Source organism: Homo sapiens, chromosome 5 (assembly GCF_000001405.40).
Source record: "Homo sapiens chromosome 5, GRCh38.p14 Primary Assembly".
Classification (NCBI taxonomy): Eukaryota; Metazoa; Chordata; class Mammalia; order Primates; family Hominidae; genus Homo; species Homo sapiens.
Genome location: NC_000005.10, coordinates 84,246,197 through 84,259,897, shown reverse-complemented (window position 1 = coordinate 84,259,897; position 13,701 = coordinate 84,246,197). Strand labels below are relative to the sequence as shown.

The window sequence follows — 13,701 nt, the reverse complement described above, 5'->3', positions numbered from 1 at the left end:
GGTACCTATTTTAGGCTTTTCGGTTTTTTTTAACCATTGTCTTCTGCAATACCAAGTAGTATTTTATAGGTGCTCACACACTTTGCTGTTGAGGTTAAAAGGTCATGGATTGCAAATGGGTAATGAAGTAAAATAAGATAGTGCCTAAATCACCTTGAACATGAGGTGACTGGCAACAAGTAGGAGGTCAGTGAGAAGAATGAAGACAATGTTGATTTCATGCAGAATCATGCAGTCCGATCAGAACTCTGGAGAGTGGGTGGAAAGAGCAGGCAAACAGTAAGTTAAATTTAGCCTGCAATGATTTCTTGCCCCTGGGAAAAATAATTGCTTTATTCTGTTGCCAAAAAGCAAATCGGCATGAGCTTAATTTGCCTGAATCTGCCATAAACTGCAGATGGAACCATAAAACATGGTTAGAATCAAATTAAACACATCTGTCCTAATCTAAGCAGGTGAGGCCAGCCGGCCAAGAAACATCAAAGTATAATGCTACACACATTACAATATGCAGAAGTATATTTTAGGAGCCTGCTGACAGTAGGATAAATAACCATGAAATCTTATATTGCCCTGTTTTCCTTTCCTTAGCCTAACCTCTTCTACTGGTTGTCATTGCAGTTTTAAAAGACTTTACCAGACCAGGTGTGGTGGCTCACGCCTGTAATCTCAGTACTTTGGGAGGGCAAGGCAGGCAGATCATGAGGTCAGGAGATCGAGACCATCCTGGCTAACATGGTGAAACCCTGTCTCTACTAAAAATACAGAAAATTAGCTGGGCATGGTGGCGGGCGACTGTAGTCCCAGCCACTCTGGAGGCTGAGACAGGAGAATAGCGTGAACCTGGGAGACAGAGCTGGCAGTGAGCTGAGATCGCGCCACTGCACAGAGCGAGACTCTGTCTCAAAAAAAAAAAAAAAAAAAAAAGACTCTACGAACATATCCACTGGGAAACAAACAGAAAACAATTATTGATTTAAAGTCTAGGAACCTATTGCATTTTAGTCAGAATTTCTTACCTGAGGTGCTACTGCCTTGGATAAACTGACATTACAGAGGATCAGAAATCCCTACCGTGTATTTTAATTAGATGTGAAATTCTAGCCGAGAGAGTTTGTTTTCACTTAAGGTATCAACCCACATCTGTACTAACCACTGAGATTATGGCCGTATAAAGGAAATAGGCTGAGATATGATGGTTTTGACCTAAGTAACCGTATAACTCATTCAAATCAGGACAGTTTTGAGAGTGAGAGGGGTTTGTGGGTCCCCGTGGAGGTGCACGGCTCTAATCCTTCTTTAAGAAAGAATGTGCTGTCCAGCTACAAGTATGTAGTTAGCTGACAGCCTCCTGCAGAACTTTCAGGACCCTACTTGAGCCTTAGGCCCTCACTCTACCTGGATTGCCCTAGTGCCTGTCATTCCTGACCTAGGGGAATTCCTTCCAACAATAATCTTTGCTCTGGAGCTCCCTGTGTGATTGACTAAGACTTTCTCAAATCTGCATTATAGACTGAGGCTCTCCCTGGTCAATCCTGTCCCGACCATCCCCACCCTCATGTCTTTCATTTATTTTTATTGGTGTCATACCTATATCGCAAGTTGAAGCTTTTCCTGCTCATTTCTGCTTCCTCCTCATTTTGTCATTCGCAGACATTACTTCTCAATAAACTTGTTACGCTCTTAACTTCATCTTAGCATCTCCTTCTTGGAGAACCCATCTGATTAAAGCATGCTACTAATGATTATGTATAGAGAAACAGATTTTAAACAAAATCTATAATAACCCTAATTATGTTTGTTGTTTATCCTCTACTTTGTCCAAGATCAAAACTTTGGTTTCTATTGCCACTGTCCACCCAACACAGTTGCATGTGGGGCCCTTATTAATTTCAGAAAGACTTTGACATGGTAGACCACAGTTTAATAAACTGAACATTTATACCGGGCTACAATGGGCCAAGCATTAACTTCTTTCTTTTATGAAGAATCTTATATCTTTTCCTCACTTATTTGTTGGTATGCCTAAGGACCTCTCCTCTCTTCGTTTCTCTTTGCTCTCATCCCCTCCACTCCCTTCCCCTGCCCTCCCTTAATAGACTCAGTGAAATATAGTATTAACCTTCATACTTAACAAGTCATGTTTAAGCAGAGGCTCTTTAATTCTACATCTACTTATATAATAGCTTAATCGGACATTTTCATTTTAGATCTTCTACAGACTTTTCAAATACAATAATCCCTTTAAAACTGAATCTACTATATTTCCTTATAAAGGATGGCTACTCAATCATCCAGGCAGGAGCTCTGGAAATCAACCCAAATTTTTTGCTCTTCCTCAACCCCTGGATCAATTTGGTCAAAATATCATCTTGATTCTACCTTGTACATGTTTCTCAAATCTATTACCTGTTTTCTCCCTTTCAAAAGATAGTATGCTAATGATGGAAATAAGATGAAAATTTCGAGTGTATTAGAAATGTGTTTCCATAAGCAAAAAAGAAGAACAAAAATTACAAGGAGAAGAGAGAAAAACATGTCAGTTAAACAACAGTTGGCATCTCTAAGATATAATGAGACTTGAGCAGATAGTCCTGTCTCATTTTGACCACAGAAACATGATATGACTGGCCCACATGCCTGGTAGAAAATTGACTCGATTTAGCATTATCATCTAGAGAGGGCAGCAGAGGGGCCATGGAAGGTTTCTTAAGGCACCAGAAAGGATTCTTAAGGCACTCTCCATAATGATGGGATAATTGAAAGAACCTCCTTTGGCCCTGGGTATATCAGGACTGTAGGCCTACCTCAGTTACTATCTGATGCAAGAACTTGGTTATAGGACAGAGTGGGATCTGAAAGAAGGGTTCTTATTTTTAGGTAAATATGTAAATATGAGACTGTGTCCTTACACTGATTACTCCACATAGGTGGGTGGGTCTTGATTTGGGGGAACTTTTATTCTGGTTTCATTACCTAGTATTTATTAACTAGATTTGATATTAAATGATGCCTCTTTTGATTTCCCTGTCTGTAGCCACCTCTATGAAGGGTCAAGAGAATCTTCATCATTTTTTTTGAGACTACTTCAAACAATAAATGCATTTTCCTTTTTCCCTCGGCCCAACCTCCTCCATCTGATTCAACACATTGCTGCCTTAGTGATTCTTCCAAAGCACAAATGTGGTGATACACTTTCCCATATTTCAAGTTCTTTTATAATTTTCCAGTGCTTGAAGATAAACTCCAAAATTTTTGGCACAGCATACAAGACCTTGATTCATATGGCCTTCCTACCTTTTGGACCTCATCATTTTCTATTTCTAATACGTATTTATATTCTAGCTACAGTGGCCTACCTGAAGTTCCTGGAATGAGACATGACCTTTTTCCTTTAAGTGTGTTATTCCCTTTGCCTGGAATATTAAGCATACGCTCTCTCCTCTTCATCACCTGATAGCACTGAGTCTCCTTAAAAGTCTCCACTGGTCCCACAGTTTGGATCATGTATACCAGTTGCAGGTGTTACTACTGTGTAGTATAATTGTAATTGTTCCTGCATTTTTATCTCTCCCACTAAGCTCCATAGTCTGTTATTTAGTTTGGTATATACAGCACTTACCTCAGTGCCTGCCTACCATGCAATAGGTACTCAAGGACTAGAAGGACAGATAGACAAATTGATAGACAAATGGAAGGATAGCTAGCTAGCTATATGTGTGGATGGATAAATGGATAGATAGATAGATGATAGATAGATAGATAGATAGATAGATAGTTAGATGATAAGTATATAAATGATAGCAAGTCTACTGAAGTATCTTTATCAGTCATCAATCACCCCATTCAAAATGCTGCCAGGATTGTCTTCTTAATTTAGATCTGACCATGTCCAAACTTTAAAATACATGTTAAAAATGTTAGACACTCTCTCATTGATTCCTTATCTTAAAAATTACAATGGCACTTTTTAATCCTCCCTGATCTAACATATTTATACTTTCTTAGCCATTCCAGATTAAATACTCCATGGTCCAGCCACGCTAAATTCTTTGGTATTCCCCAAACATTAATTCATTCATTTTATGACTCTCTTTTCTAAGGTCTGCTCCAGCACTTAGGTACTGTTTTAATCTATCATCTTAGTGTGGCTAATGACTTGGTTTATATTTGACAGAAATCATAACCTGAATTTTCATTTTTCAAATATTTTTAAAGTGCTTCATCTGGAAAAGAGTTTAAATAATTCTCATGTGAAAAACCTTACAGAGAATAACATAACTAAGAAATACAAACTAGTAGGAAGTTGGTGCCCAGATGCTTTTTTATTTTGAAAAGTCCCTTACTCATTGAGTCCAGGAGGTGGCAGTTTCACCTACAAAGCTCCCTTTAAAACTGTATGGGTTTTTGTGCATCTGATTCAAATCCTGTGTGCAATAAAGCCACACCCATGATTCTGTCTGAAGCCTGCTTTTTACTCCAGACTTAATCAGTGCTACTTTGGGTGTGTCAGCCTTCTCAGGGACAATCCTTAAGGTCTCTAGAAGCCCTTTTATTTAGCTGAGAAGATCTTTCAGGCTCCACCTGAATTATTTGAAATGTTTTCACAGGGAGGTTTGTAGCCACATCCATGATTGATATTTATGTTGGGCCATGTCTTTCTGGCATTCGATAATTTACCACTTTGAGAGTTGGGAGTTTAGAAACAATTGTGTTTTCTAACACAAGTCCTGGTCCTTGTATACTACTTCCCTTTACTTTCAAATGGACTGGTTCTTTATTTAGCTCATCTCTTTATTGTAGCACCTTATCATATGCAGGCAGTAAGAGCCAACTGATGCTTTAACAGTCTGCCCGGAAATCTCCTTACTCATATGAAAAGTTCATCGCATACATGTTCTACCTCCCCAGTTACCTCAGATGACAGCTTTATCAATTGTTACACACTACATAAAATGGGTAGCCATTTTTCTAGCTTTTCATGGCCATGACTGCTTTTCCAGATACTATCTGCCACCCATTGCCACAGCCAAGGCCACGTATTGTGGGGTTTCTGTTATGTCATAAGTTATTTCTCTGTAGCAGTTTCTTTCTTATCCTTCCACATTTCTTTCACTCATCTCAAGCAAGCTAGCCTGAATTCATTCACATGACGATCTCAGCACTCCAAGAGAGGAAGTAGATGTCTTCAAGTGCTTTTCAAATCTCTGTTGTCTTCAAGTCTGTTAACGACCTACTGGCCAAAGCAAGTCACATGGACAAGCCCAGATTCTAGGGATCCAGAAATAAACTCCTGTCCTTTAAAGAGTTAAAGAGTAAACTGTGTGGATATAAAGAAGGTATTTATTAGAGTAATTAATGACACTAGTCTATTACAGATATTTAGGTTAATATTTATTAACCAATTAGACAACATTCTCTTTACATATTATGAAGGAACTCCAAACTGAACCAATAGCTTTCAGAGGCAGTGTTTGAATTATGCAGTTTAATTTTTGCCATGTTACATAGTATTTTTTTTTGAGTACATGGTTTGAAATGAGTCTTGCAGATCTTATGTGTGAATCTTAATATTACCCTGACTTTTGACTTTGCCAAGGGAACATCCATAGCAAAGTAAACTAGTATGTTTCAATGTCCAAGACAAAAAAAAAATGTCAATTTCGGTTTTTTTTTATGCCTTAGGTGATATTTGTGATCCCAATCCATGTGAAAATGGAGGTATCTGTTTGCCAGGATTGGCTGATGGTTCCTTTTCCTGTGAGTGTCCAGATGGCTTCACAGACCCCAACTGTTCTAGTGTTGTGGAGGTTGGTAAGTGCAAAATTTAAGTATTTCAGTAGTTATCTTTTTATTTCCATGAATAAATGGCAGTTTGGCTGTGGTGCATTATGGAGATTAGTTGTAAAATTGCTATATGTTGCTAATTAGTTTACTTTTGTGTAGGATTCTCAGTTGTATCATTTCCAGTTTATATTGAAATTATATTAATTGTGTTCTTTAAGTTTTAAAATATTTTTAGTAATTAACACTAAATTTAAAGACATTACAAATAATACATAAATATAACATTTCTTATATTTCTAATATTAATATAAATTTAACATTTTATTCTCAAATAAAATACATAACTCCAAAGTCAATTTATTCAAGTTAAATTATCACTGTAAATAAAACAGGATGTTTTTAGGGACTTCGAATATCCATCAGCATTTTGTAGCTGTTCTAATCATTACTTTTCTTAGGTGATAAATATATTTTATATTTCTAAGCATATAAAGAAGAGGATATTCCAGATGCAGTGCTCTTCAAAGTTTTCTAAAAAATTTGCTCTGCAAAAATTAATGTGTCATTGGTTACATTCAAATAGTTTTTTAAAAAATCTGCGAAATATGTATACTTATGGATTTAGAGTAACTTCTGTAATTTCCACATAGGTCCCCATTAAGGAAATAGCTGTACTTTAAAATAATTTAACACCATGTAAACTTGTGCAGAGATTTTCTCTCTAACTAAAGAGAGAAATAATTTTCAAAGTTAATAGCACAGGTAAGTTTGAAAAAAATTTATATTTTTCGCATTAGTACCACGAAGAGTACAAGATGGAATATATCTGTTCATTATAGGAAACCAAACATGTTTTGTCAACCTGCATAAACCTTAGAGAAACAGGACACTTCAATGGCTTTGGGGAAATAGTTTTGAAAAAGAAAAGTAATAGCGTCCAGGGATCAGTCTGAATTACCCATCATTGTACCCAGTGCACCTAACTTAATTACCTTATGCATAGTAAAAATCCAGTAACTATTGGTTGAATGAAAGAAAGAATAATTAAATAAAACCATTAATTTACCATCTTTGGCCATTAGTTACTGGATTGTAGTGTGCTTTATTTTTTTAATGAATTTTCCTTATTTTTTATATTGCATTATGAATATATGTTATCTAAAGAAGTTTATTATTGCTGAAAGGTACTTTGTTCATTTAATTCATCTTCAAAGATAATTCTCTTTTAATGCTTTTATTAACTCACTGATATTTTAGGAGGTTTGACACAGTGCCATCGAAATAAAACTGTTGTAACCACTTTGACCCAGGCTTCAAATATGTACATTTGAGTTTCAGAGTTTAATGTGAGAATCATATCCTCAGGAAAGTCTGTATATCTGAAGAAAATTAGAGTCATAAATACCCCTAGTAGAAATGTATGAATAGAGTAAAATTTTAGTGTTGTATTTTAAGCCCAACAACCCCAAATTGGCAGTGCCTTCGAGTTGTATAATAGTATATAATATTTTTGGCACTATTTGAAAGATCCAAATCTGGAATCAGAGAAACAAATGTAGGTAAATGATTAAGAAATCAGTATCTTAGCAGAATTTTTTTTTTTTTTTTTTTTTTTTTGAGACGGAGTCTCACTTTGTCGCACAGGCTGGGGTGCACTGGCACGATCTCAGCTCGCTGCAAGCTCCGCACCCCGGGTTCACACCGTTCTCCTGCCTCAGCCTCCGGAGAAGCTGGGACTACAGGCGCCTGCCGCCACGCCCGGCTAATTTCTTTTTGTATTTTTAGTACAGACGGGGTTTCACTGTGTTAGCCAGGATGATCTCGATTTCCTGAGCTCGTGATCCACCCACCTCGGCCTCCCAAAGTGTTGGGATTACAGGCGTGAGCGACCGCGCCCGGCCAGCCGAATTTTAAAGTAAATACTTGTATACTTTTGGGCTATACTTTTAAATATTAATCCAACATTCAACATTTTATCTGAAGACTGATACTATGGGCAGCAACACTTTAAAAACTAAGCACGCTGCCATATCCCACCTAGTTCAGTGTGACTTTGGGAAATTAAACGCTTATAGAATTAAATTCTACTCAGATTCATTATTACATATTAGTATACATCTCTGATATTCAGAAATTGGATAGTTATACTGTATTATTTTAAGCTATATTTTTTAATTATACATTTCATACAACCCTATTCTTCTCTGGGCTGTATTTAGGAGTTTTTGGAAGAAATGTATTTAGTTTGTATTTGTTTGATCATTTAGTATAGGATATTAGTTACACCAATTCTATTTTCATGTGCTGGTGTTCTAACATTAAAATACTAGGAAAAAACTTTCCTAAAGTCTTAAAGTGTTGACAGTTTCTTGAATACAACTTTCCTATATTATGACGTAATTTTTATAAAGGATCAGAAAATAATGAGAAATCAAGCACAGTTTTCAAGTTCAATACCTATTTATGACAGAAACATTACCCTATTGCCTTTCTACTGCTTTTTCTTAGCTTCATATTTTCTTGCATATGAAAGGTGTACTAAATATTGATTGCATAGTAATACTTGGTAGTAATGCCTTTAATATCTAGCTTACCTTGGGTCTTTTCATATTTTTAAAACTAATATTGGGATCAAATATTTCAAACATTAGATTACTAAAGACCATCCTGCGTTTTTGTTTCGAAAAAAAAAAAAAGGCCGGGCGTGGTGGCTCACGCTGGTCGGTAATCCCAGCACTTTGGAAGGCCGAGGTGGGCGGATCACGAAGTCAGGAGTTTGAGACCAGCCTGGCCAACATAGTGAAACCCTGTCTCTACCAAATATACAAAAATTAACCGGGCACAATAACAGGTTCCTGTAGTCCCAGCTACTAGGGAGGCTGAGGCAGGAGAATCACTTGAACCCAGGAGGCAGAGGTTGCAATGAGCTGAGATTGTGCCACTGCATTCCAGCCTAGGTGACAGAGAGAGACTCCATCTCAAATAAATAAATATATAAATAAAAATAAAAATAAATGGCTTGGCCAAGGCTTTTTTGTTATTGTTCTCCTGTTGTTATCTAGCACCAATGCAGGAAACAGAGTGTATTGGAATTTAAAAAACAAACAAACAAAAAACACATGTGGGTATTTTGAGGTAATATCTTAAAAGACAAAAAATATTTGAGCTGTCACTAGTCTGTATTTTTCCTTACATATTAGTTACCACAAAGATAGAGATGTGTCTAAGGTTTCTTCTATCCATTTCAGACCATATGAATTTTGAGCCATATATATTATGAAATTCTGAATCTTTATATTTTTAATTTCCAAAGGAAAGAAAATAATCTCATTTATATTTGCTTAGAAAAAGTTGTTTTTTGATCCCAGTTTTTAAAATTATGTTTATCCTGTTTATTCTACAGTCAGACACATACTCTTTTCATTGCAGTTCATCTGGAAAGGAGAATTTCAAATGCATGCTTAGAGAAAAACATTTCATGATTTTACCTCAAACCTTACTACTTTGCAGTAGCTTTGTTTCAGGTTGTTGATATTTATTTCAAGCGATCCTCATCCAGTTTTGTACTTTTATTCTTCCCTCACAAAGCATATAATGTCAGATAAGCACAAAACACTTAACACATTTGCAATCAATACTCACATCACTTGCATTCCTGTGTTACGTAGGATAGTTTGGCAGAATTGACTTTCTCAGATTTGTGAACTTCCTTCACTAGACAACATTGCTTTTCTCTGGACATTTTTTGATATTTCTGTATACTGCATTCTCATTCTCTCTCTCTCTCTGCCTCTCTGTATCCCCACACACAGCTATCACACACCTACACAACTCAATGTGCTCAGCCTCTTAGAGTTATTAAGATTCACTTCTGATATCTGAAAATGGCAGTAGGAAAACTTCTCTTCAAACAAAGCAAAGAAAAAGCCCTTGTTTTAAATTCTTGAATTCGAAGGCATTACCCAGATTAACCAGTGTTTGCACAGATGTGCACTGAATGCTGCCTCCCTCTCCAGAGGATTTGTGGACAGACCACCATGTGGCTAAGCCGCAAATTGCTTCCCAATTACTCACTCACATTCCTGGATGGCACTGTGTAATTGGGAGCTATATTATGACACATTCATTTCATGCAGAAATTTTCTATTATCTCTCTCTCTATATATATATAAATGTTCTATTATCTCTTTCCATATATATATATGGCCAGACTGGTCTCCAACTCCTGACCTCAGGTGATCCACCCACCTTGGCTCCCAAAGTGCTGGGATTACAGGCATGAGCCACCTCTCCCAGCCTATCAGTATATATTATACAGTTCATAAATGGAAATCTTGAGAATTTTTAAATTGTACAAGTTCTGTGGCATAACTATCCTATGTGTGTTATCAGAGTAATCCATTAAACTAGTAAAAAGTATAAACTTTTACAACTCAAATACATAGTATATTAACGTAATCAAAGGGAAAAAATAAGTGACTTTTTTTAAACAAATAAAATCTTAGTTTTCATTTATTTTCAAACAAATATTTATTGAGTGTTTACTAAGTAATAGTTACTTGAATGGTGGAGGGGCAATGATAAACAAGTTGCTGTTTAGATGATGAGACAAATAGATAGACAGACAGACATACATACAGACAGAAAGATGGAGATAGATAATAGATAGAAAAATAGATGATAGATAGATAGATAGATAGATAGATAGATAGATAGATAGATAGATAGATAGAAAGATATGTTGTTATGTGTTGTGATACAAGTACCTGGAGCCATAAAAATATAAAGCAGATGTCTTGCTTTAAGCTAAGTGTAAAGGAATGCATGCCAACCTGAAAAAGTAACATCTAGACATAAATCTAAAAAATAATTTCAATCTATTGCAGACTAAAAACTACAACAAACAACAAAACCTATTCCAGACAGAGAAAATAGTGTGTAGAATAACCAGGAGATTAAAAAAAAAGGTATAATGTCATAAACTGAAAGAAGTTAAATGTGGCTAAAACTTAGAGAGAAGGGACATGGTGGCCAGCACTGACTCTGAGGATGGTGACAAGTGGCAGATACTCTAGAGTTTGGTACAGTGTTTAAAAAAATTTCAACTTTTTACTAAGAAAAACAAGAGATTTTGTATTTCTGTTGGTGCAATATGGAAAACAAATTACAGCAAAATACAGCAGGGGGACAATTTGAAGGCAATTGCAGCAGATGAGGCTAGACATGATGATCTTGGCTTCTGTCAATGTGGTAACTAACGGGATGAAGAGGAGAGAGTCACTGAGTATTTAGATGATACCATAGACAATTATTGCTTATTTATGGGGTATGAAGAAAAAGAGTTTGGGAGAAACTAAGAGTAAAGAAAGGCATCCCCAGTTTCTGGCCTGAGCAACTGGGTATCATTTACTGAGATATTATAAATGACAATACACAGGATTGGGAGGCAGAAGGAGAGTTCAGTATTTCACATGTTGAATTTGACAAATTTGATAGACATTATCTAAGAAGTCAAGCATAGATGTAGAAGTCATAATTACATAGATGGTTATTGAAGCTTAGGGAATGGATGAGTCTGTCTAGAAACAGGATAATAGCAAAGAATAGAAGAGCTAGACATGGGAAAGAATAGAGGAATTAGAAATACAAAGCGGTAAGAGGCCATCAATATTTAAGTGATAGGCAGAGAAAGTGAAATCTGTAAAGGAGCCAGAGAGGCAGAGTAGTCAGGTAGAAGGAAAACCAGGAAAGTGTGGTGCACAGTAAGTTCAGGATTAACAATGTCTCAAGGAGTGGGTAATCAGCAGTGTCAAGTACTGTGGAGCAGTTAAGCAAGATAAGCATTTCCTTTGATTACATGTGATTGATGGATGATCTTGTTGGTTTACGGAAGATTAGTTTTGCTGGCGTTGTGGAGAAAGAGCTTGACTGTGGCACGTAGAAGAATTTGTAGAAAAAAATTAAATGGCTAAAACAAACATTTGTCTATTTATTTATTTGCTTACTCATTCATCTATCAAATATTTGAGTATCAGCTATGTGCCACTCTTCCTGGCACTGAGGATATAGCAGTTAAAAAATGGTCTTTGTCGTAAATATGTGTAAAATATTGTTAAAATGATCAGACAAAACAAAGAATATAAACATTGGAATTTGGTAGTAATATAAGATTCATTATCACTTGGAAAAAATTAAAAGTATGTGTATTATTGACAGTAGGTCAGTACAGGATAATAGTACTGTATATTATTTTATTTATAATTTCTTTTTATCTTCTCTGTAATTACATTGACATCTGGCCAGGCTTCTCATTTCCAAATATATATATGTATAGCATATCATGTAAAAAATACATATATATATTCAGGAAAAGTTATTTTATTCTGTTTTATCTTCTCTTATCCTCTTTTACCTATCATATTCCATAGAAACTTATTTCCCTTTGGTAATGATATCCCTTTTCTACCACAAATTCAGATTCTATTAAATGTGTTACCCTCCTATATTGTCACTAATAATCTGTTCCTCAGCTTTCATTTTATTATGAAAAATTGAATATATTTATCCCAGAAAATACAGACTGTCATACACATTTTTTAAAAAACTAGAAGTTGACTGTACATTTCACTCTATGAATAGCCATATTCATGTTTATCTTTCAGAAGGCAATCAGTGTCAGAATATCAAGTAGTATAATAGAGTCTGACGTTGTCCGAAAGACTTCTTGTTAGTGTTCATGAAATATCAGAAAGTTAACGAGCCTTAAGTAGCTCTCTTGGGTGGTGTAGGGTTATTTTAGATTTCGAGACTTTGGTTACCAAATGAGGGATTTGGTAAATTTCAGTTAAATTTTTCAGATAGTAGATGAAATTGTGAGTAGTTGTCGGGGTGGTTTATTTTCCCCTCTACTTAAGATTACTTCTTAGACTCATGATTGAATCCATTTTTCTAGAAGTTACCATAATGAGAGCTATGTTTCACGGACTAAAATACTTTCTCTAAAGCTGCTAGCCAATAGATGATTGCTAAGAAATTTTCCAGTCAACTAGGGTCAAAGGGATTTATTTTCACAGTTATGTTTACTTACTTTTCTAATAATAAGAAAGGGTAAATATAAGTTCATACAAACAAATATAATTGTGCAGTTAAGATGACAGATAATTAAGGGAAAGTTTTCGTACTAATTTTGCATATATTATGGAAAAGTAATTATATTTTATATGTGTAAAAATTCTGTAACATACCATATAAACTCATTAGCTTATTGATGTAAAAATATTTCTGCTTTATTAATAATGACAATGATTAGAATTTGTTAGTTTGCAATTCCAAGCTGTGACAATTATATGTTAACTTTCAGAAAGAAAAAAATGTATAACATCAAAGAACCTTAGATATTATTGAGTACCAAAAGCCACTCTAGCCCAGTCAAAGGGTAAAAGCCAGTTTGTGGTAAAGCTTTTATTTGTAAGAAAAGACAATGACCCATTAAGAAATTGATGTATGTCATTTAAACCACTGTCCTTTCTTCTAGGAGTATGTCCTTATTCATAGGGAATAACTGCTTTTGTATTTGAATGTATTTTACTGCCTAACAAATAATCACAGAGTTTAATGGATTTATTAAAAAATAATCATATTATCTCAGAAGTGTGTGAGACAGCTAAGTGGATATTCATCTCTGGAACATCTTTTACGTCTTTGTTGCACTCATATCTGCGTCTGCAGTCAGCTGGCGCTGGATAGAAGATGGTTAACTGATCTCTACTATTACGTAGTGGCAGTGGCAAAGGTGTCAAGAGTAGTAAGAAAGATCGAGTCCTAAAAGGCACTTTTCAAATCTCGGCTTGCCTCACAGTAGCTAACAACACTTTTGAGGGGAATATATGCAATTTCATTTTACAAATGTGCGGA

General features: G+C 35.6%; 1 protein-coding gene across 2 annotated transcripts in view; it reads left to right on the top strand.

Moving 5' to 3' along the window:
- EDIL3 (EGF like repeats and discoidin domains 3) overlaps positions 1–13,701 on the top strand; it is a 444,327-nt gene that overhangs the window by 124,983 nt on the left and 305,643 nt on the right. For both annotated transcript variants that reach the window (NM_005711.5, NM_001278642.1), the window contains exon 2: positions 5,686–5,814. In NM_005711.5, the coding sequence (NP_005702.3) occupies positions 5,686–5,814 (129 nt within the window). The remainder of the gene's footprint in view (positions 1–5,685; positions 5,815–13,701) is intronic.